At 35.1% G+C, this 23,872-nt stretch overlaps 1 long non-coding RNA gene across 1 annotated transcript; it reads right to left on the reverse strand.

The window, feature by feature from the left end:
• Positions 1–3,062: 3,062 nt before the first annotated feature.
• On the reverse strand, positions 3,063–23,016 carry LOC105377702 (uncharacterized). The gene is made up of 3 exons (XR_941178.3): positions 22,942–23,016; positions 14,345–14,443; positions 3,063–3,140 (listed from the first exon to the last, which is right to left on the reverse strand). It is a non-coding gene; the product is annotated as an uncharacterized LOC105377702 (long non-coding RNA).
• Positions 23,017–23,872: the final 856 nt, after the last annotated feature.

The raw sequence follows: 23,872 nt of genomic DNA on the forward strand, positions 1-23,872 counted from the left end.
GTGTGTGTGTGTGTATGTGTGTGTGTGTGTTTTTTTTCTGGTTTTGATGGCTCGGTAAAGTTATCTACTCTCCTAGCCTGACTTCCTCACAAAGAATGAGCAATATGGATATTATTTAAAGACCTGTCTTTATGTCTGAAAATCTATTCTATTCATTCTTTTAGGTTAAGGTTATTAAAAGGACACTACTCTGAAGGATAGAGCATTTTTAGTCACTTGCCTCTGTGTGTAAATTTTAAATCCTTTCCTTAGTGCATGTATGATGAGTTAGAAAAAGTAATTAGTCATCTTCATAGTTCCTTGAGATTCTATAAAAGGGAAGGGTTTGGATATAACCAAGAAATTAAATCAGAGAGAGAGGGTGAGGGGATTGGTAATAACAGCAATAAAATTGGACAGTGTCTGGTATATAAAAGTCTGAATGAAAAATGAGTGACTCATTGATTGAATTTTATAAAAATTATATCCATTCTCTAATTCCTAATTTAACAAGTGGGCTACAAGACTGTTTTTGAAAATAACTTTTTTAGATGTTTTAATGTTAATACAGACTATGTATAATTCAAGTTTTTTTTCTCTTTCATTACTAGCTCTATAAAAATCAATATATTGTTTAGGGTCAAATTTGTATGATTTTTTAAAAAAAAATCTCTCTTCTTAAAAAAGAAGGCTCACATTCTCAAGTTCTGGTGATTGGCTCCAAATTCTCAACCTATGGCAAGCTTAATCTTAAACTGTCTTCTGTCTACCACGAGTTAAGACAATTAGCAACCATTTAGAGTAATGAAATTAGACAGTACTCAGGATAAATGGATGTCTTTGGTTTGCATGACAAGCTGTGACTTAGTGATGAGCGTGAAAGTTTATGTGCCAGACAGAGGGGATTGTCACCTTGATTTTTTTTTTTTTCTTTTTTGAAGTCTGTCCCAGGCCAGTTCAACTGTTAAATTTCAATTAAACTAAATTTGGTCAGGGAAAAAAAAAAGAAAGATTGGAAATGTAAGTATATTTCTTTTATCTAGCCTGAGCTGTTGGCAAAGCAAACTGGCTTTTCCATACTTGGCATTTATTAATAATATTTTGAATACCATTGCGCTTTTTAAGCTGAGTGTGGTGGAATTCTCTTGTGGGATTATTAAATGAGTCGATTTGCATTCTAATGAGAACAAATGTTTGGGATTGCATTGTTAAAATGCTAAAACGGTGTGTGTATAATTATTTTGCAGCTTAGATTCGCAGAACTCATTTCCCCAAACTCCTTTTTTTAAATAACTAAAGAGTCAGAGCCTACTGACGGCTGGAGGGGAGGTGATTAGGGTAATTTAAACTGTTCACAAATGACTTTGCCACGGAATGAAAGCATTTCTTTGGCTTTGCTCAGCTCCTTTCATTATCTTTAAGCGGCCGCAGTGTTGAGTCCCATAAGAAGTCCCACCAAGCTCTCTTTCCTTGTACAGTTTCTCATTTGTATTGATTAATCATTTTGTAATTCCATTCTAGGTTGACTTGCTCATCTTTAAGGCATTTGCTGCTTTTTCTTTGCTTGTCTATCTTGTAACCGTTATGTTGTCGGTTCTAATACCTTAGCTTTATCACTGCAAGTCAAGCTTTAAAACATTAATCCTTTCATGCTTTAATTTCATATTCTATTACCAGAATGAATGCAAATACTTTCTTTTTCTCCTTTTTAATCATCTTTACTACAGCTTTTGCATATGGGCCAATAGTAAACTAAGCTTTTATTATTTACAGTATAACTTTGTTTTTTAAAACAGTTTTTCAACTCTTCTCTTCATAAATTCTGTTGACAAAATGCAAATGTTTACTGAAAAAATCTGTAGTCTTAGACTTAATTTGTTGTTGCTAATTTTTAATAAAATACATATATATTGTAAGTGGAGATGATTATGGCACTAGTGGTAACAGTAGAAATGTTTCATTATTATAATTTCAAGTATTTGGATTGTTGGCCTTGGCCTGAAGAGTTGATTGTGATGGCAAAGTTTTGGAAAGATGATTATTTTAGATTTCTTGCACATAGAGCTTGAAGTTGGAAAGAGAAACTAGAGGATTATGGTCTATCCTACTCTTTTTTTGTAGAAAATGACTGAATTCTCGAAAAATTAAGTGATTTTTCCCTATGGACAGCAAATAATTCTTTCATGCATGTTTATTTCAAAAAAGTGAATTAAAACAGAATTGTGTTTATATTTTGATGACCAATGCTTTATTAGGCTAAATGATGTTTTATGTTTATTCCATAAGGTAAATATTTACATATGTGTTATATGTAATACAAATACAGTTGTTTGGAAATATGAAAAACGGACATTGCTTTGAAAAATGCAGAAGTGTGAAAATTACGCAGTAAAACGGAATTTTATGATAGTCAGTAATACAATGGAAACAGGTGGCTTCAGTTAAAATGAATGTTAAAATTTGATAATATTCAAATATAAGGAAAAAGCCAATTAATTAATGTGCTGATGGTTATTCCCTGCTTGAGACATTAATTAAAAGCTCATGATAATTGGTGTGAAGACTTTTCATAATTTAAAAATTGGTACTTTTGTTCCAAGTCCAGTTTTGATGGTTTCAAGAACTTAAAAGTTTTACGAATATGGCATATTTAAAAATACTACTATAGTTACAAAAATAGAAAAGCTTAAATTCTCTTATAACCTTAATTTCCTTCTTGGTAGAGCTTCATACTGAGAGATCAGTTAGGATTCATTTGGTTGCAGCTGGTAACTAGAAACATGACTCAGACCAGTTAAAATAGGGAAGTGGATTTTTTTTTTTTTTTAAGCACAAATAGATAAAAGCCCGGAGGTGGCACCAGTTTAAAATATGCATATCTAGGTTGGTGATCCCATCCCAAGACAGCTTCCTCCCTTGGATCACATGGAAAGAAAAATCGGTAACTATTGGGTAAAAACAGAGAAATGGATGCTTGCAAAGAAGTCTAAGTATATGGAATTATAAGTAGAAGTTTTCAGGTTGTAATATGCTACCCAAATTATCATAATAAACATAGAGACAAAAATAGGGGGATCTACTTACTTTATTTCTCACTCTCATATTTCCCCATGTGCTGTCATTATGGGATTCATAGGATGGACTGATGAAGGAAAGAGGGCCTGATAAAATGAATTCAAATGAAATAAATTATTCTGTAATCATTTTATTTTCAGGCTTGAGATTCAAGGCAGATATACATATCACAAACAATATCTCCTCTTGTGTACAGTAAAATTACCAACTTTGTTCTCTACAACTTTGAATCCTTTAATCTTCCTGTGGATGAACAGTTCCCCCCTTCTGCCCCCTAAAGCCTTAGTCTGTCATGACCTTTCATACCTGTTTTGTCTTTAGAAACAGCTTTGTAAATGTCACAAGCTTAGGATTCTTTTTAGAGGCTTTGGGTCTCAGCTCTGTAACCACCGAGTAATCAGATTCGGGTTGGTTGTGGTTCATGATATTTATTGACTGCTAGTTTGGTTTTAGGACCCTAATGCCATAGGTTGAAGTACCATATTGTCCTATCATGAAGGAAAAGTCAAAGACTATGGGTCTTGTTATTTTCTCTCTCTATATATATGTGTTTTAATTCCCTGAATTAGCTATAATCTTAATAGTTTTAACTTTACAAATTTTTTTCTGTTGCCATGGAAGAAAACTAAATAAACATAGGCTTTGTCCAGCCTGCACCAGGATAATATCATCAAAAGATTGAACTCAGAAATGATCAAAACTAGTTCTTCAAATAAAATTGGCAGGAGGGGAAAAATAGATTGCATGTATGCAGGTGCTAGAAAGCTCTCTTAACTTGCAGAGATCATAAAGAAAAAACTAAAAATGGAAGGACTATTGACTGCAGAAATGCAATATTGCAGATGATAATTACATTTCAGAGTAGCTAAGAAAAATTATTATTCCTGAGAATATTAACTTAAGTTTCAAAATAAGTTAAGATTAAATATTTAATAGTACTGATAAACCATGTGATTGCACAGAATGTACAAAAGCCTTCATGGTTAGGAATTTTACACAAGAGTGAGAATCTGTCCATACTGGGCAAAAGTGAAGATTATACTGGAGTAAACACTATTGAAGTTGATTAAGCAGCTCAGCCGTTGCATGAATGCAGAGAAATGTACTGCCCTGAAAATCTTTCTAATTGAGCAGGTGTGTTTTTCAAAAGGTTGTTCATTAAGTGGATTTTATTGTTTGTGTGTGTATGTGTGTGTATGTTTGAATACATACTTTAGGATTGCCAAATGGCTCTTGATATTTTTGTGTTTAAAAATATACATAAATTTCCTGGCAAACATGAAAATCCTGGGGTATTTAGATGGAAATCTACATTTCTGTTTCTTTTGCATCTAAGGGGAAAAATAGAGGAGCAATTTTGTTTTAAAAAATTCATATTATTGTTTTTCCTTTGCTTCAGGGCTTTACGAAAATTGAAATTTTGCCAAAGCAGTGCTAATGAATTTACCAAAATATTAAAGGGAATTCAGAACTCTGACAAGATTGACTTGCAATGGGTATTAATCTTGACAAAGCTTATTTCTGTAGTTGTAATAAATGTAATTATTCACAAATATATTCATTGTGCTTTTCTGTTTTAAAAAATTTCTCTTTGCTTCTTTCTCCCCAAGATTAAAATGCTTGGTAACACTATAAAGGTGTTTAGCTAGTTTAGGAATATACTACCCTTCTGTAAGACATGGAAAAATAAAGCTTCAGTGAAAACAAATAAATGAATACACTTAGGAAAAATTAATCCCAAGTGGTTTTATAAGTTACTGGGCTCAAAATTACAAACTATGAACTACGAGGGGATTTTAAAAGCCATTGTGAACCACTGGCACAATGTTCTACTTTAGGCAAAAGCCAAAAAATATACGCAGCATATTGAAAGTAAAACAGAAAAATCAAAACCATATATTTTTCCATTGCTTTTATGCTTTAAAATTTTGAGAATACTTTGACATATATTCTTTTAATATGATCACAAAATTTTCCTGTGTTTAAAATTTATGAATGTTTGTCATTTTACAGATTAAGAAACAAAGGTATAATGATATTAAGTTACTATGCGAAACCACATAGACTGTCATAGGTTGATCCAACACTTGAACACATGTTTCTGTGCCATTTCTATTGTACTGAACTGTTTCCCAGATTGTCATAATCATGGCAGATCAGATTAAAGGCACAATCAATCTAAAGAAAGTGTAGAAAACACAACAAAAAGATCTGGGAATTGACAAGGGATATTGTAAATGTCTAGCATCATGTATTAATCAATTGGTAAATAAATGTGTATCAAATCCTAAATTAGGTACATGATGTAAATAAATGAATAAATAAATAAGGACATAGGATTACCCCTTATATAACTCATGAATAATTAGGAAGAAAAACCATGTGTAATAGAAAAACAGTTCAAGAGATTTGGCTGTAAGAGTTTGAGAGTAGAACCTTGGGAGAGATAAAATGATTTACAGCATAATTGTGCTGTCCATTACGGTAATCATTAGTCAAATGCAATTATTGAACACTTGAAATGTGGCTAATGTAAATTTAGATGTGTTGTGAGTATTAAATACACAGCAGATTTTAAAAACAGTATGGAAAAATCATCTAATATCTTAATTTCATATGGAGGCACGTTAAAATATTAATATTTTGGACTTATTGGGTTAAAATATATCATTAAAATTATTTTTGCCTCTTTTAAAACTTTTTTTTTAACATAACTACTAGAAAATTTAAAATGGTATATGTGGTTCACATTTTAACCTTATTAGGCAGAGGCTGAAATAGAAAACTGAACTCCCAGAGCTGCTGGAAAGTTATGAGGCAAGAAGCAGATCTTGGACGAGGAGAAAGGTGAGGAGTGGAGTCAATAGAATATTAGAAGACTCTTCCATGATGTCTTTCATAGCTCTAAATCTTCAATTCAGACTACTAACCACAAAACTTTTTATGTAAAAAGAAAAAAACAGTACTTCCACCTAGGGGCATGATATAACTTTATGAAGAAGATGGCATTGTAACTTGCTCTTAAAGAAGGGTTTGGATATACCATCCAAATTCCTTCTCAGTATTTTATGCATGTTATTCACAATTTTTCACAGCAACTTCATTATTTCCACATAAAGATGATATAAGGACTCAGAAATGGCCTTTCATGAATTTTTGAAAGAGTGCATTCTACATATCATTGACAAAGTTTACTCAGAGGAGAAGGCTTAGGTAGAATGAATAGTTCAAGTTATTAGAGGGAAGAGATTATAAATTAGTGTTCAATATGGAAAAATAAATTTGAGACAGATTTTGGAAAGTCTACAATAGTAATGAATTTAGATGAGGGATATAGGATTGTATGGCAGCAATGTTAAAATAATAATACAATAATATCTGGTTATATGTTTATAAAAAATAAGTTAATAATGTGGACCTGTTTTGTGATTTCTAGGCAAATTTAATAGTAAAGCAATAACAAAATTGCAACAATAACTAAAAGGAGATGAGTCTTCTTATGCCTCATCTATCTTTAGGAAATTCTGAAAGGATTACTTTTACAATGAATGGGACATTCTTCCATAGTTTCTCAGATTTCCTAGTTCTAACCAGCACAGATAACTTTTCTTCACTTCTGTACCCTGTTGAAATACCACGTCACAAAACCTGACTTCTGACTTCCTAAGCAGCTGCTGAGGAGCTAGATGAAACCAGCTGGATATAGAAGGCAAATGAGAAACAGGAGACTAAAGATCTCCACGCAGATAAATTTTCCTTCCTTTCTCTCCTCCGTGTGCAGCTTCCAGATATGATTCTTGCTGCAGTGAGCCCAGTGAAGTCCCACATGCAGAGCAAACACAGGGCCTGCGCACCCTTTGCTATCTCTGAGGCCCCTTGGGAAGCAGCAGGCATCTCAGTAACAGACTCATGCTTTTCCTCCCCTCACCCTCTCCACCCTGGGCTTACCCCTTCCAAAGAGATTACACCACTTTAATTTTTGATTCACTGTGTTAATTTTTGCTTTTTTTAGAGGACTCTAGCTAAGAAAGACAGGGATATTGAAAAATGTGATTAGGTCAAAAGGAGGGCAGAAACAGTCATATTTTGTCAGTGCTCTCTTTGTTCCAGAAATTCTTTTAAAGAATTTTATGCAAATTATCTTTGGTAATCCTTCAGAGCAACTCCACTATTTCCATATACACATGAAGATTTAAAAACTCAGAAATGATATGTATCTTACTCAAGATTAAACAGATAGTATGGGAGAGAAGGAAGGCTTCAAGAGTTTCACCTTACATTGATTAATGTCATAGAAGTGGCAGAAGAAATAAAGGGTCAGAGAGGTAAAGTTACCACTTTGATCCAAACAAATGTAAATAGGAGTAGAAAAGGATTTCAAAGCTGGACAAGACTACCTCCAAAGATTGAGGTCTCAACTGTTGTGTCTTACTCCTCTTTCCAGTATAAAGATGGAAGATTAGGAAATCTTTAAAAGGGATTAAGATGATTAAAATATATATATGCCCAGCAGTGGGATTGTATGCATGTATCAAAATATCAAGTGTACCCCATAAATGTGTACAATTAGTATGGATGAATAAAAAAAAATTTTAAAAGGTGATTGGGATGCCTAAATAGGAGAACGGATAACTTCAAGAGACAAAGGAGTTTAAAAATATTTGAAGCTGTGTGTAATGGGGAAAGTCACCTTAGACTTGACCTATGCAACTCCAGTGAAACAGAGAAAAAGCAAAAAGACAAATTTTGGTTCACTGTAAGGAAAACCTTTCTGAAAGTTAGAACAACTTAAAAATGTCAAAGGCTTGTAATTTTTCCATGATTTTTAGGGGAATGGGAGGGATCAAATTGGATCTGGAAAATTTTAGATAGACCATGCTATGGAGAAAGTATTGGCATCAATTATCTTTATGGTAATATTTTCTAACATAGAGATTACATGATTTTGTGTTTTTTCATTTGACTAATATTTGAGTGCACTAAAATTTTAAAAGCAAGACATTATAAACAGTTACTATGAACAGATACCATGACCATTTGCCCCCACATTTCGGCTAGGGAAGGAGTTCCTTTTAATCATGCAAATGAATACTAGAAAATAAGCATCTCATTCACAGTGTCAGGAGTTTTTAACCTTAAACTAATACAGTTCCCACATCATTGTATGACTGTTTTGGAAAACATTAATTCTTCATTTGAAAAAATAATTGTATAAAGGTCAAGGCAAGGTTTTCATGCTTGACAAAGAATGTGTTTTGGTCAACTTTAACCCAATAGTTGGCCTCTGTTACCAAGAGTATTATTTATAAAACTTCAATGAGAAGTGGAACATATATTAGTCTTTGAATAGGTGGTAAAAATATCCACGGAGCAAATGTAGCATTTACTGTAAATGCAATCTTCAAAGGTAGAGTGTTAATCTATTTTATTATGAAAGATATCTTATAGTTCTCATAATAAAGAAAAAATTCTAATTGTCAATCTCAACAAATCTTCTGTATACCCCCCAAAGAAGTTAAGGTCTGTTCAATAATAATTACTTTCCATGTCACATAAAAACTTGAGATTTTGTAAAGCTGGCTATTCTCAGAGAAGCAGAATCCATTCAAAGAGATGTTCCAAGACACTCATCCAGTAGGAGAGAAAAATTCAGGATTGGAAATACACACACACACACACACACACACACACACACATACACTCAGTTTAATTTTAAATTTCAGTTTAATTATCTTTCTTTAGTCTTTCTGGAAGAGCAATAAAAACAATCATAGCCTTATCCTACAAGTTGTAGCCATCTCCTCTGTTTTTTAGTCCAAATGATTCAAATACATAATGAAAAGGCCATATTTTTCCCACAAAGGGATTACTTGTTTCTATTAAATAAATCTTCTAATTTTTTTTCCAACCCCTCCCTGATGAGCGTCTATTATTACTACTTGCTCAAACTGGGATGCTTTTCTTCCAGTCCTCACTTTCAGTTGATAGGGCACCATAGTTTACCACCTACATTCCCTTTCCCATGGATGTGATAACCAGAGTGAAATGAACAGGAAATCCTATCTTGGGCGTTTCCTTCCAGTTTCTCCGAGTGTGTTGTTGCAGTAGCTGTTATATTATCTACCTGCCATACCAACATAATTCTGGTTGGTTGGTCTTGCTTGTAATGTAGCAAGATTGCCATGCAAGCCAGGTTATTGTTCAGTTGCTGAAGGCAGTTTCTGAGTTGTTTTTACTGTCTCATGGAGATCTCTTTGTGCAGAGATTTCTTTTTTCTTTTCTTTGTGTGTGTGTGTGTGTGTGTGTGTGTGTGTGACAGAGTTTCACTCTTGTTTCCCAGGCTGGAGTGCAATGGTGTGATCTCGGCTCACTGCAACCTCTGCCTCCCGGATTCAAGGGATTCTCCTGCCTCAGCCTCCTGAGTAGCTGGGATTACAGATATGCACCACCACACCCAGCTAATTTTGTATTTTTAGTAGCGACAGGGTTTCTCCATGTTGGTCAGGCTGGTCTCAAACTCCCAGTCTCAGGTGATCCACCCACCTTGGCCTATCAAAGTACTGGGATTATAGGTGTGAGCCACTGTGCCCGCCTTGTGCAGAAATTTCTATAGCCAAGAAAATATAAGAGACAGCCATAGGCTGATGAGTAGATTTCCATGTTGAGTTATCTTGATTGTGAGTCAAGTTTTATAAAATATATGGACTTTCAAGTAAATATTTCCATAATGTAAAGTGCTGTTTTTAGCAGGTTGTGGATCACAGAGAAATTCTCCCATCCTGATTTTTGCTCAAGAAATTAATATGAAAGCTACGATGCTTTCCCATAATGTCTTCATAGTCTATTTGAAATATATTTAAAATTCTATTATTCAAAGATAATGATAGTGGGTGCTCACATTTTGTTCCAGAGCACATGTTTGGTATTCTAGTAGAGGATAAAAGTTGAAAGGAAATGAGTTTGTTGGACTAGGTGACCTGAGTGTAGTATAATCCTGATCAAACTAAAATTTTGGAAACTCATTCAGAAAATAAAATTTATTTTACCTAGCTTATGTTATGTTATGAAGAAAGTGATAGTAACTTAAAGATAAGAATGCTCTCTATGGTAGGCAGCATTTTGGTTTCTATGATCTCTCCCACTTGCCCCCTGCTTTGATTTGGATTTGTGTCACCACCCAAATCTCATGTCAAATTGTAATCCTCGGTGTTGGAGGAGGAGCCTGCTGGGAGGTGATTTGATCATGGGGGTGGATTTCCCCCCTTGCTGTTCTCCTGATAGTGAGTTCTCACAAGATCTGGTTCTTTTCCTCCTATTCTGGCCATGTAAGACATTCCTGCTTCCCCTTTGCTTTCCATCTGACATGATTGTAAGTTTCCTGAGGCCGTGCTTCCTGTACAGCCTGTGAAACTGTGAGTCAATTAAACCTCTTTTCTTTGTAAATTACCCAGCCTGAGGTAGTTCTTTATAGCAATGTGAGAACAGACTGATACATCCCCACCACTCCACTCTGCATTGTGCCTGTGCGTGTTACCTTCTGTGGCAAAAGGGAGTTGGCAGATGGAATGAACGTATTGGGCACCTTGGTGTAGGGAGATGATCCTGGATGATTCAGGTGAGCCAGTCTAATTAAATGGGCCTGTAAAGGCATAGCAAAGAGGAAGAAGAGTCAGAGGCAGAAGAGTCAAAGTGTGTGTGCGCACGGCTGTGTTAGAGAAGTGTACAATGAAGAGGACTCAACTTGCTGTTACTGGCTTTGGAGATGGAGAAAGGAGGCCATGAGCCAAAAGATGCAGGAGACCTCTAAAGTTGAGAAAGGCCCTCGGTTGACAGCCCACAAAGAACTGGGACCTCAGTACCACAGCTGCGTGGAACTGAATTCTGCCAGCAACCTGAATGAGCAAGTAAATGGATTCTTCACTAGAACCTCCAGAAAGAAACATGGACCTGCCATAACCTTGATTTCTGCCTTGTGAGACTTGAAGGAGAGACCCTGCTAAACCAGCTGGGCTTCTGACCTATGGAAACTGTGAGATAATTAATGGAGTTTGTTTTAAGATGCTAAATTTGTGGTGATTTGTTAAGGCAATGATAAAACTCTAATGCACTCACCTACAGTTTTAGGCAGTTACCTCACCACTCCTATACTTAAACCATGTGTGTTTTGGGTGTGTATTGGAGTTTCAGTAAACTCAGACGTTGTAGTGCTGATTTCTTGAGCGTGTTCCTGGGATTGGAGGGAGAATTTCTATGACTTATTTTATAATTTGGATTACAATTGGAAATCTGTTGTCCTATTTGAAGCATTTTATTAGACCATTTTTTATTAGACTATTTTGAAGATGGAGAAAACCAGTCATATGATCTTCTTCATTGTATCCCGATTTCACAGGTCATGATCCTTCAACATTTAAGCAGATGCACCTAAATTGCCAACATTTGATTTCATATCAAACAGGATAATAGCAAAGAAAATACGCTAAAATAATGTTCTTAATTTGTTTTATTCAGACTTACTGCATACACATTTACGAAGACATTACTTTTAGGATGTTGGATGTATTGTCATAAAATTATTAGCCACACATAAATATTTATAGATCTTATTAGAATTCACTAATCTTCTCACTATTAGCCAGCAACTTCAGCTGAAAATTTCCATAACAATTAGTATTGTTAATGCAAAGTGCTGTGCCTATTTTTGCCGAAACGGGTGTCTTTTACATGAATTTGCCACCATTTTAGATGTCTTTGCATCTAAAATGAAATGAGGAAAACCATATCTGTTATTAAACTGTGCCTGTCTTTGTTTAGAGCTACTGCTATGAGCCAGAAATCTTGGAAAAGTTTTTCTGCATATCCCCAGCATGTTACTGAAGAGTTTCTTACTACCCTGAAGACAGATATTTCTTCCTCATCTATTGGGAGACTCCAGGAGTCAGTCTTAAGAAGGTCTTATTGTGTGCATAGCCTCATGCCCCTGCCCACATTGATAACTCACCAAGGGGTTGAGATTTTATAATTCAGCCTGATTAGGCTGTTATCCATCACATCATTACATAAAACCCTACTATAATGGTACACATTCAACTAAAGCATCAACACAATCTAGATTTAAAGAATGAGTTAAGTAAGACAAAAAAAAAAAAGGGAAAAAAATAGCACATTTCCCCCCATACTCTGTAAACAGCATTTTGGTTCAGACATGTATCTCATTAGCAAACTACCTGAAAACAATAGGCTATAATGAGATCAGTCAGCAGCTTCATATTACAACATAGCTTGGGGGGCCCTGTTCTTTTGGTAAGGAGTGTATTTTTTACAGAAAAAAAATGTGTATCAAGTTAGTATCTCAGTGACAAACCAGTGCTAACTAGCACATGTCTGCATGTCACCAGAGGTGGCTGTGCCTGACATTTCCTGGAGGACAGCCTATAGTTAAGTAGTATTGAAAGGCACCACAGGCATTATAGCAAATGTATAGGGGACAATGAGCAACAATGGGGCAAAAAGCAAGCTATTTGAGCTAATGGCTGATGCTGTGTTCACAGTATTATATTTGTGCCATTCATATCACTATGGCTAAGGTTGTGTCTGTTTTCATAATAGAGCTACTACTTTAGAGGTTTATAACCTGGCAATAAAAATTAGCTTCCGGCAAGAACTTGACATACAAGACAAGACCTCAGCAAGAAAGTGATTTTTGAGAAATCAGATTTTGTTCGGGGGGAGCAGGTATGGAATATGTTCTGTTGTTTTAGACATTCATTTGAGTTTCTGAAACTCAATACAGCTCAGATTTGGAAAATGGCATTTTGTAAGTTATTAGACTATAAAAAAAATCAAACTTGTGAAAGTCTGGGTCAAACAATGCTTATTTTTGAGGGCTTAGCTCAGAACATTTTTATCTTTCAAAATGTTCTTTGTAGACTTTTCAAAGTAGGAGCATTTTTAATGATTCACAGTTCTTTATTTTGATATATAGAAAGGCACAGTTGTGTGAAGATCAAGAAGTTAAAAGGAGTTTATTTTTAGAAGGTAATACATTACGGTATGTTGCTTTTTTTGAAGTTAAACTCCTTATTAACACCTATTCATTAATACTATTATTAAATGTAATAGATTCATTGCATCTAAACATTGGAAGAAATCCAAATTCCACAGAGCTGAAAGCATATCACTCCTACCACAACCGTCACCTTCAGCTGTTTATTTAATTTTTACTTTTTGCCTAGCAGTGCACCAGAATCTTGCATGCACTAATTTAACATCCATTATTTGACCTCAATACTCTTTAATGCTTGTGTTGTCATAGATAGACACATACATAAAGAAGAAATAAAGTAAAAAGGAACAAAATTTCCAAATACATATTCCATTGCACACAAAAATTAATAATCATTTAAGCTTGACCTTTTAGAACCTTTATTTTAAATATTTACAGTAGGCATGCGGGTCATCCAGTTATAGTGAGAATTGAGTTGCAGAGTAGGAGAGAAGAGAAAATTGTTGAGAAATTTTGAAAAAAAAAAAAGGGGGGCGGGGGATAAAGCCAAAATGGAAGAGAGGTAAGGATATTAGCAAAGGAGCAATTCTCAAATATAGATGTAGATGGTGATTTTTATGATATTGTCAATTATTAACATATTAATAATGAATATTATTTTACTGGTGACCAATTTGTACTAGACATTGAAGCTGCTTTATAGGCAGGACAGGACAGCTATTGATAAATAATTGCTCTCTTCTTACAAATAATACAATTGCATATTTTTCCATAGACAATGGCAGTCTAGATTCAAAGTAGAGTGTAGAATAGCAACAGATTTATCAACTTAAATTTGGATACCTATACTATTTAAATACCTATGCATTTCTCAAAGGGAATGAAGGAACTAGAGTAAGCTTCAGGAAGCCAGACCCCTGAGTTTTCAGTCAAATGAATGAAAGTTGTCTTACAGCCTTCAAAAAGCACATAGTCTCTGTTGTATGAAAAGGTGGCAATGTTGTCACGTTGACTCAGTTGGGTTTAAATAACAAATATCTATCATTCCAGCTCATGTTAGTATAAAATGTTTTTAAAATAATACAATCTTTCACAAGCAGAATTGAAGAACTGTTATGGAAGTAAAAAAAATTAGATTTCCTTTCATATTTATCCAGAGTTGTAACGAAGGCTTGACTAAATTAGAGAAAGCACATTTGTAAATTGTTTTCATAAAAGAGGTAGAATTATCACTGAGGCTACAAAACTTTTTTTTTTTTTTCGTTAACGAATGCCATATCTTACCTTACTTTAAACTCTTCTACTGTGTAAGCCTTTCGGTGTGACTCTTTGTTTAATACTGGATCTCACATCAGAGACTTGACAAGTTGAGAGGTGAGTTATCTGGAGCAAAAAAATTAAGCTTGTCAGAGGCAGTCCTCCCACACAGAATTAAGATAAGATGATCTCAAATTCTTAAGTTCTCAAGGTAATAGTTCTAAAGAGATATTTTTATCCGTACCATCAATACTGAGTAGATTGTGGAAAAAAAATAATTTTTGCCTCTCATGTTTGAAAGTCACTGTTTTTACAGAGTTTCTTTAATTTTCTTTTTCTTTTTTTGGCTGAACTTTTCTTAGAACAGTGCACTGCTGGGATGCACAGTTATTAGAAAGTAGGAGGCTATGGAAGATAGAAATTTTTCATTTTTAACCATCAATAGTGCTAGAGAAGTAAATGTATATATTATAACAGAGTTTGAGAAGAGTGGGAAATTTATTTTTAAATGAGTTGCATGTAAAAGTGCAAAAGCAATAAAAGCTCATCTCCAAAGTTCAGAAATGAGAAAGAAATTTAAACCCATAGTAGTGGACCAGATTTGAAGCTGAAAGATGCAGAATCAGTCACTGGCCTAAAATCTGGGTTCTCATCATCAACATGTACAATTTTTATGTATCCATTTGAAAAATTTAATAAATAAAAAAAAACCTGTGCAGAAAAAATACGCACTGTGCATAGCAGAGAACTGGAACTGGCCTCCTTGCATAAAGGCTCACACAATAGAGGAATTGTCCTTACTGTTAAACAATCACAAAAAGATAATCAGTAGCCATGGGACTGGGCACAAAAGCAAGTAACCCATGCTGGGTCTTGGGTTGTGCTAAAGTGGCCTTGTGACTAAAATTGCAATCCTGCCAGTGGGACCATTACAAATAAAAACTGGTCGTGTGCCAGTAAATCCCTTAGTATCCAGCAATGGCAAATACAAAATCATCCTGGTAAAGAAGCCTATACAGTCCATGGTAGGGAACAGAAAATGGTAGCCAGGATACACAGAAACCCAGTAACTGTATTACAGATTTAAAAGTAAACAAAGAAGAAACCAAAGCAAAAGGTGGGTGCGGCGGCTCACGCCTGTAATCCCAGCACTTTGGGAGGCTGAGGCGGGCAGATCACCTGAGGTCAGGAGTTTGAGACCAGCCTGGCCAACATGGTGAAACCCTGTCTCTACTAAAAAACACAAAAATTTGCCAGGCATGGTGGTGGGTGCCTGTAATCCCAGCTACTCAGGAGGCTGAGGCAGGAGAATCACTTGAACCCAGGAGGAAGAGGTTGCAGTGAGCCGAGATCATGCCACTGCACTCCAGCCCAAGCGACAAGAGCAAGACTCCATCTCAAAGAAAAAAACAAAACAAACGTTAAGTATCAGGAAGACTCTTACCTAAACAATTAATTTATATTATGTGTCTTCCTTTTCCCCTTCTGGAATCCAATTTTCTTCCCAAAAGTTGAGGAAGTGTAAGTAATATAAAGGCCACATCAATTGTAGAAAGGAAGAGCTGCTATGCATGTGCTAATAGTAATAATGATTAACAATTGCCATATATAGTAAAAACAGTATAAAATTAAAGACCAATTTTTTTAAAAATAAGAAACTACCAAGTCTCACTCAAGAAGAAAAAAGAGAAAAATATCTACAGGTCCAGATGAATTCACTGGCAAATTATCTCACACATTTAAAGAAGGAGTAAGAGCATTCTATCTAAACAGTTCCAAAAAAAATTTAAAGAACAAAGTATGATCCCCAAATCACTCTGTAAGGCCTGAATATACCCTGATACCAAATCTAATCAAGAGCATAACAGGAAAACTATCGAGGTATCTTTATGAACATAGATGTAAAAATTCAAATACATTTTTATCAAATTCTGACAGAAATACGAAGAATAATACATTATGATCAAGTGTTGCCAAGAATGTGAAGTTGGTTTAACATTGAAAAATCAATGTAATTTTAACTAAAAAAAAAAAAAAAAATTCTATATGACCTAAGCTAAAATAAAAATCGTAAAAAAGTAAGTAATTTCCTGGAAAATAAGTAGCAAGCCAAGAATGTCTGTTTTCACTTCTTATATTAGCATTTCTTTATTTAGTCTATCCTATTAAATAGGGCACTAAAAGACACCCAGACTAGAAAGGAAGAATCAATTGTCTTTTACTGAAGATGACTTGGTCATCTATGCCAGTAAATTCTACAGAATATAAGAAGAAGAACTACCTATCACAAGTTTGGTAAAATTGTAGAAAATAAGATAGTGATACATAAATCAATGAAATGTATATGTACTGGACACAAACAATTGGAAAATAAAATTTAAAATAGCATTTAAAATAGAATCAAATATATCAAATAGGGATGAATTGAAAAAAACAGATGGGTAAAACCTGTACATTAAAAACTCAAAAATGAAAAGTTAAAAAATTAAAAGTGAGATGCTCCATAATGCATTGGAAGACTCAGTTATTAGGATATCAACCACCTCCACATTCATCTATAGATTCACTTCTAGTCAAGATCACAGTAGTTGTTGCTGTGTTTTTTAGAAATTGACAAGATAATTCTAAAATTTTCAGGGAAACACAAAGGACATACCCAGAAGGAATCTGAAGAGAGAGAAAAAAAGTCTTATTATAAACCTATAGTAACCAAGATAGTGTGTTATTGGCATAAAGGTAGACAAATGTTTGCAACAGAATAAAGAGAGCAAAAACAAAACTCACACATATATGATCAACTGAATTTCAGCAGAAGTGTCAAAGCAATTTAAGGGGAAAGAATAATCTTTTCAGTAAATGATGCTGAAACAATTTGCTTTCTATATGTAAAAACAAAAAGGAAGAACAAAAATACACAATAACCTCAAAGCTTGTCTCATATACCATATGCAGATTTAACTCCAAATGGCTCAAAGATGTAAGCATAAAACCCCAAATTAATATAGACCTAAATGTACAACAAAAACAAAAAATATAAAGCACCTATGTAACAAGAAATAAAAAATGATCAGGAAAATGACAAATGATGAAATGTGAATTGTCCATATACTACAAACAGATTTTTGATAATATGAAGTTTTAATAGTTTAAGGTAAAATGTAGTACTATCAGTAAACTAATGAGCAAAGGCATCGTTCTGGACAAAATAAATTATGAATGGCTAATAAGCCAGTGAAAACAAGTTCATTCTCTTTTTTGGCAATATCTCACCTCTAGGTATCTATTTGTAAGAATAAGCAGGTATGTGCGTAACGAATCATGTGAAAAGTTAGATAAAAACTAGATATCTAGGCCAGGCACGGTGGCTCACGCTTGTAAACCCAGCACTTTGGGAGGCAGAGGTAGGCGGATCACGAGGTCAGGAGATGGAGACCATCTTGGCTAACAGAGTGAAACCCCATCTCTACTGAAAATACAAAAATATTAGCCAGGCGTGGTGGCGGGCACCTGTATTTCCAGCTACTGGGGAGGCTGAGGCAGGAGAATGGCGTGAACCCATGAGCTTGCCGTGAGCGGAGATCGTGCCACTGCACTCCAGCCTGGGCGACAGAGCGAGACTCCGTCTCAAAAGAAACAACCAAAAAAAAAATACTAAACATCTAAACTTATGAAATTAGTTAAATTGTGTAGCATCTATGCAATGGAATACGATAATAAAATAGCAAAAATATATCCAAAGAGACAGGAAATGCTGGTAACTATATTTAGGTTTTTAAAAATATAGGACTCTGTTTTGGTATTGTTACCAAACGTAGCTTTACTTTTTTTTCTTTTTTCCTTTTCTTTTTTGAGATGGAGTCTCTCTCTTTCACCCAGGCTTGAGTGCAGTGGTACAATCTCAGCAACCTCCGCCTCCTGGGTTCAAGCAATTCTCCTGTGTCAGTCTCCTGAGTAGGTAGCACTACAGGCGCCCGCCACTGCGCCCAGTTAATTTTTTATTTTTAGTAGAGATGGGGTTGCACCATATTGGTCAGGCTGGTCTCAAACTCCTGACTTCAGGTGATCCACCTCCCTCAGCCTCCCAAAGTGCTGGGATTACAGGCATGAGCCACCGCGCCCAGCCATGTAGCTTTAAATATACATTAAAGATAGGCCATAAGCTTGCATAGCAAAATGGTAATGGTAGTTTTCCCATGCTACTGTGATAAAGGAAATTTTCACTTTCTTCTATTTTTCTGTATTTTTCATGCATTTCTACACTGGCCTTGGGTTACTTTTTAAATAATAATTGAGATAAAAGTGAACTTGAGAAGCAGAAACAAAAAAGACTTTAGAGGTTAACAAGTGCCAGGTTATGATAATTCTTTCATTATTTAAGCAATGGAGAACAATTGGAAGTACCAAACAAGAGAATTATTTTTTTCATAACTCATTGTCTAATGCTAATGTGACCTGTGTGCACATATACGTGATTTCCTTCAAGGTGATAATGTGGTCTTTGAGTGTTGGGAATTTCTCACACATCTTTCTACACACAGAACCATATACGTAGTCAATGGTAAATACATTAGACAATCCTTGTGTATGAAATCAAAAACTCTGTAGAAAATTAGCATTTATCTAGATTTTGCAAGTACTTCCCAGTCCAATATTTGAAACAATATGTAATTGACTTGCCATAAGAGTAAACTTGAAAGAATATTATAAAACTAATGAAGCTAAAAATTCCTGATTATATTACATTGAAATGGTTATAATAAACATTCTAGTTAGTCAGGAATCTTTACTTCTATTGGCCATTCATAATGGATATATGATCATGAAGCATGTAACAAGAAACATGTGTAATACTGGTGTTAATAGAGTGGAAAGTTCAATGAGAAAACAAAATAAAACCTAAAAGTGCATGAGACCAAACTAAACAAAAAAGGTGCACCAGATGACATCTAAGAAAATTATGAAATTTTCCATGACACTGAGTGACAAGCTTTGGGATGCATAAAAAGAATGGGAGAAAAAGAAGACAGATATACAATAACTAGGAAAAATAAGACTCTCTGAATTGACAAGGGAATATAATTTTTTCAAATGACCGTTTGTCTTAAGGGAACCAAATATTTTAGTCATGGGCTACCAACTAAGCATGCAGTGTTCTTATGATTTATCTCATCACATCATCTGCATTCGGTTTAACACGTGCAATCTCAGCAAATAAACTCTTTTTCAGCATTCCTGTGTGGTCAGGTGACTTAAGTTAAATGTCAGGGGAGATAGCAAGAAGCTACAGCTTAGCATATTCATCAGTGTCTAATGAGGGTCTTAAGATGAGACAGAACTGAAGTTAATTCACCAAATTTGTTTGTATTATAGACGTAAAAGGTGGCAAATATGAACTTAGGAAAGGTGACTCATAAAAATTTTAAGTGATTTACCCATAAAATAAAAACTAAATAATTATGTATACCTATGTATTCTTACTCTGTCAGTTTTACCCAAATTATGTAAATTGGAAATAAGTGCCCTTACTGTGAGGATATCACATGGTATTTCACAATATTGTTTATGGATAGCATTCTCTACTCTTCTATAACTCTTATGTCTGTTCTTTAATTCAGCAAATATTTATTATGCCCTGATGTCACTCTCAGAATTTTATTAGGTTCTGTGAGAAATGAAAACAGCGGAAAATACAAGATCTGTCTCAAGTCAGGTTTCTTAGAAGCCAAGCCTGACTGTAATTGACTGAGCTAGTGCTCCTTAGGAAAACCCTGTAAGCAGAGGAATAAAGCTGGATGTGATAGTGAAGGGATTCAAGAATTCAGCAATGATGTGGTCTCAGGAAGTGTAGCTTCACCCTGACCCATAGGTGAGAGTTCTAAAGCATGAATTGCAGTTCAGAGTTGCCCTGGAGTCAAAGAGGCTGACTATTTATGCCCTACATCAATCATTAGCTATGAGACATCCTTTTCTTGGCTTAGTTTCCTGGGTGAGTTGGCTCCACACAGCCTAGAAATACTCTCCAGAGGAGGAGACAGCTAGGCTCCATGAGCAGCTCGCAGACAGTGCAGAGCTGATAGAGCAAATAGACACTTCAGTATGGACCACAGCCTTGCCTTTTCTTTTTCTTTCCCCTGCCCTTCTACTTCTCAGTCTCCACTTTCCTCCATTTTTAAACCATGTCATCATTTGCAAATTTCTCACCACTCTTTACTGTTGCTTGGTGAGATCCACTGGTACTTTAAGGCCTTCTTCACCTCCACTGGTGACACTTTCACTTATGAGACTGCTGGTTAAAATCAGTGTAATACAACTAGTTGACCTCCCTGGTCAGAATCCTCCAATAATTTCCCAAATTCTTCAGCATGATCTACAAGACTCTAAAGATCTGGTCCTCCAATACTTTTCTGACACTCTTTCCTGTCACCCAGCACTACCCCTAATATAACGATTCGACTCCAGTTGCATTAGCCTCTTTGCTGATTCTCAAACATACTAAGCATGCAGATCATTGCAAATGCTGGTTACTCTCCCTAAACTTTCTCTTTCCATTCTTGTCATGGTTTGTTCATGTCTTCCTTTAAGTCTGTGATCGGATGCTGTTTCATCTGTCAGGCTTTTCTGACTACATGATATAAAATAGCTTCCCTCTTAAAACACATTCATCACCACCTAAAATATTATATATTGTTGGATGGTTTGATTGATTGGTTGACTGTCTAATCCAGCTAAAATATACACAGACCCATAAGAAGAAGGACACTGTTTATCTGTTTGCCACTGGTTTTTCTACACCTAGAGCAATGTCAAGACTATACTAGCAACTCAGTGATTATTTGGTGAATTAATGAATAGGTGCCAGAAAGACCAGAATAAAAAGCAAAAATACTCTACAATTGTCAGAGAAAGCCATGCTGGAGTGACTTCTGTGCTGAGACTTTACAGGTGAATTGAAGATTTACAGGTAAGAAGGTAGACAAGAACTTTCCAGGCAGCGAAATGAGCCAGTGCCTCTAAAGCAAGGAAGCGCAGTGTCTCTGCAGTTCTTTGCCTATGCTCTGCACTTTAAAGGGCCCATCAATAACCACAACAGTTTTCTGCAAGAGGAGACCTCTCAGATCTGTATTCTGCTTTCCATTACAAGGCAGCTAGCTTGATATTTCCATTTACATGTTCTGTTGTCATCTTAAAACTACACTTTTTGAATTTATTCATGTGGCTAAGGTATGACAGTGATGAGAGACTGCTCATTATCACTCACCTTCTTATCCCATCAGTTAATAATTTTATTAATCTTTTCCTTATAATATCCTTTACTCTCCCATAACTGTTGCCACATCCGTATCCTAATTTTTCATGCTATGTTTGCCTATTGACTGGTTTTTCTGACTCTAAACTCTCTCATTTCATTTCATCCTGCACCATTTTGCCAGGTGCACAACTCTAACTTAGACTTTCACATCTCACTCAACAGACTCGTGAGATTATCTACAATGGTTAGTTTCAAAGTTATAGACTCACAGTCAAGGCCATCCAGGACTTGACACCAACCACCTCCCCACTTTTTCCTATTTCTGTTTCTTTCCGTGAAGTTCCAACTTTGCTCACATTAGTTCCACATGCACTCATCTACAGTTGCACTTTTGCTCATGGTTTCCCACCATCCTGGAAACCCATCTCATTCCTATGCATTTAACTGTGCTTTTCATGCAGTTCATGCTTTAGAATTCTCACCTATGGGTCAGGCCGAAGCTACACTTCCTGAGACCACATCATTGCTGAATTCTTGAATCCCTTCACTATCACATCCAGCTTTATTCCTCTGCTTACAGGGTTTTCCTAAGGAGCACTAGCTCAGTCAATTACAGTCAGGCTTGGCTTCTAAGAAACCTGACTTGAGACAGATCTTGTATTTTCTGGTGTTTTTATTTAACCTATGCATTTAACCCATCGTTTAAAACCTAGCTCAGATTTTCTCTCTACATGCAACTTCCCTGACCAGTCTATTTAAAAATAACTTCCAAATATTTAAAAAATAAATTTTATTGTATATATTTAAGGCATACGACATGATCATAAAAGTATCTTCTCTCCAATGTTCGTTTCAGCATTATTCACAATAGCCAACATATAGAAACAAGCTAAGTGTCCATCAACAAACAAATGGATAAATATTTAGAACTTCTAAAACTTCAGTCTCTATCATCCATTTGGAAAGTGGTCGTTTATTTCCATGTAATATATTCCGTGTCTTTTACATTGAAATATTATTTAAATGTATTATTTTCATTTAACTTTTTACCTTTTAATTTTTTTATTTTTGTAAGTTGATTTTAAGTTCTCTTGGGGGCAGGGATAAAATCATGGTGTAGGAACCTACTGCCTCCTCTTTTCCTGCCCCAAGTCACCTTGTAAAGAAGGTTACTTACTGTCAAAGTAACCTCCCTAATAGGTTCTAACATCCACAGCAACCCAAGATCATCCATAAGATTAAACTTCCATAAATATTTATACATCATTCTCTCTGCCTAGAAGTTTATTTTATTTTACTTTTTACCTAAAAATTCCCCATTTAAGCGTTAAGATTCACTCAGCCACAAAGTCACTACAATTTAGACTTAGCTTACCTTACTTCGCAGCTTTTGTTTCTACTTCCTTTTTATCATCCCATTATGAGGTTCCTTCTATTTTAGCTCTGGTTTTATATACAGTAGGAGATTGTGATTTGTGGGAGTTAAGAACATAGCCTTCTAGGTCAGATCTGGATTTGAACTTGACTCTGTCCTTCTGTTGCCTCTATTAGATTCACAGCTGCCATAGCCAACAGTATCAGGCTTTGCATGACCATAGAACAACTAGATGCGATCATATTTTGTGCTTACATCAACTACTACAAATAGCTTTGTGAGTGAATAAACCAAGAATATATTGTTTTTGTTAATCTTACAGACCCTCCACAGTAAAGTAAGTAGATCCATTGGCTTTTTTCTTCTTTTGTCACAAGTTTAAAGAATTAAACTTTGAGAAGAAAATGGATGGAGAGGGTGTTGCAGATTGGGATAGCTATGCTAATTAATTCCTCAGGGAAAACACTCTCACTTTTACGTAATTTTATTCTGATTGATTTTCATAGCTGTTCTCTTGTTATGATGCTTGCTTATCTGACAGACTGTATGGTCCTTCTCTTTTGCCTTTTGAGAGCTCTGGATGATATCTTGTTCCATTACAAAAATTTTTTAGGCCAAAAAGCATAAAAATACATACTCATATTTAATGTTAGAAGAAGCAAACCTGGAATATTGTTACTCACCTGGAAGTTATCTTGCAAATAAACATTTATTTTCTTAGGCTATACCAACAGAGATCACGTTATTGCATTTTATTTTATGTCATATGATCTCTTTATTTTTCAAGAAATATCTCTGTTATCCTAGGTAATACTCATTTCTTCCAAGCTGTAAAAATATTTAACAATGTAGCAAATACTACCTACCAAATAAGGAACTACTTCTTTGAGCAAAGTTAGTTTCAGACACTTTATTATTTTTGTCAACTGAA

The sequence above is a fragment of the Homo sapiens genome, chromosome 5, assembly GCF_000001405.40.
Source record: "Homo sapiens chromosome 5, GRCh38.p14 Primary Assembly".
NCBI classification, from domain to species: Eukaryota; Metazoa; Chordata; class Mammalia; order Primates; family Hominidae; genus Homo; species Homo sapiens.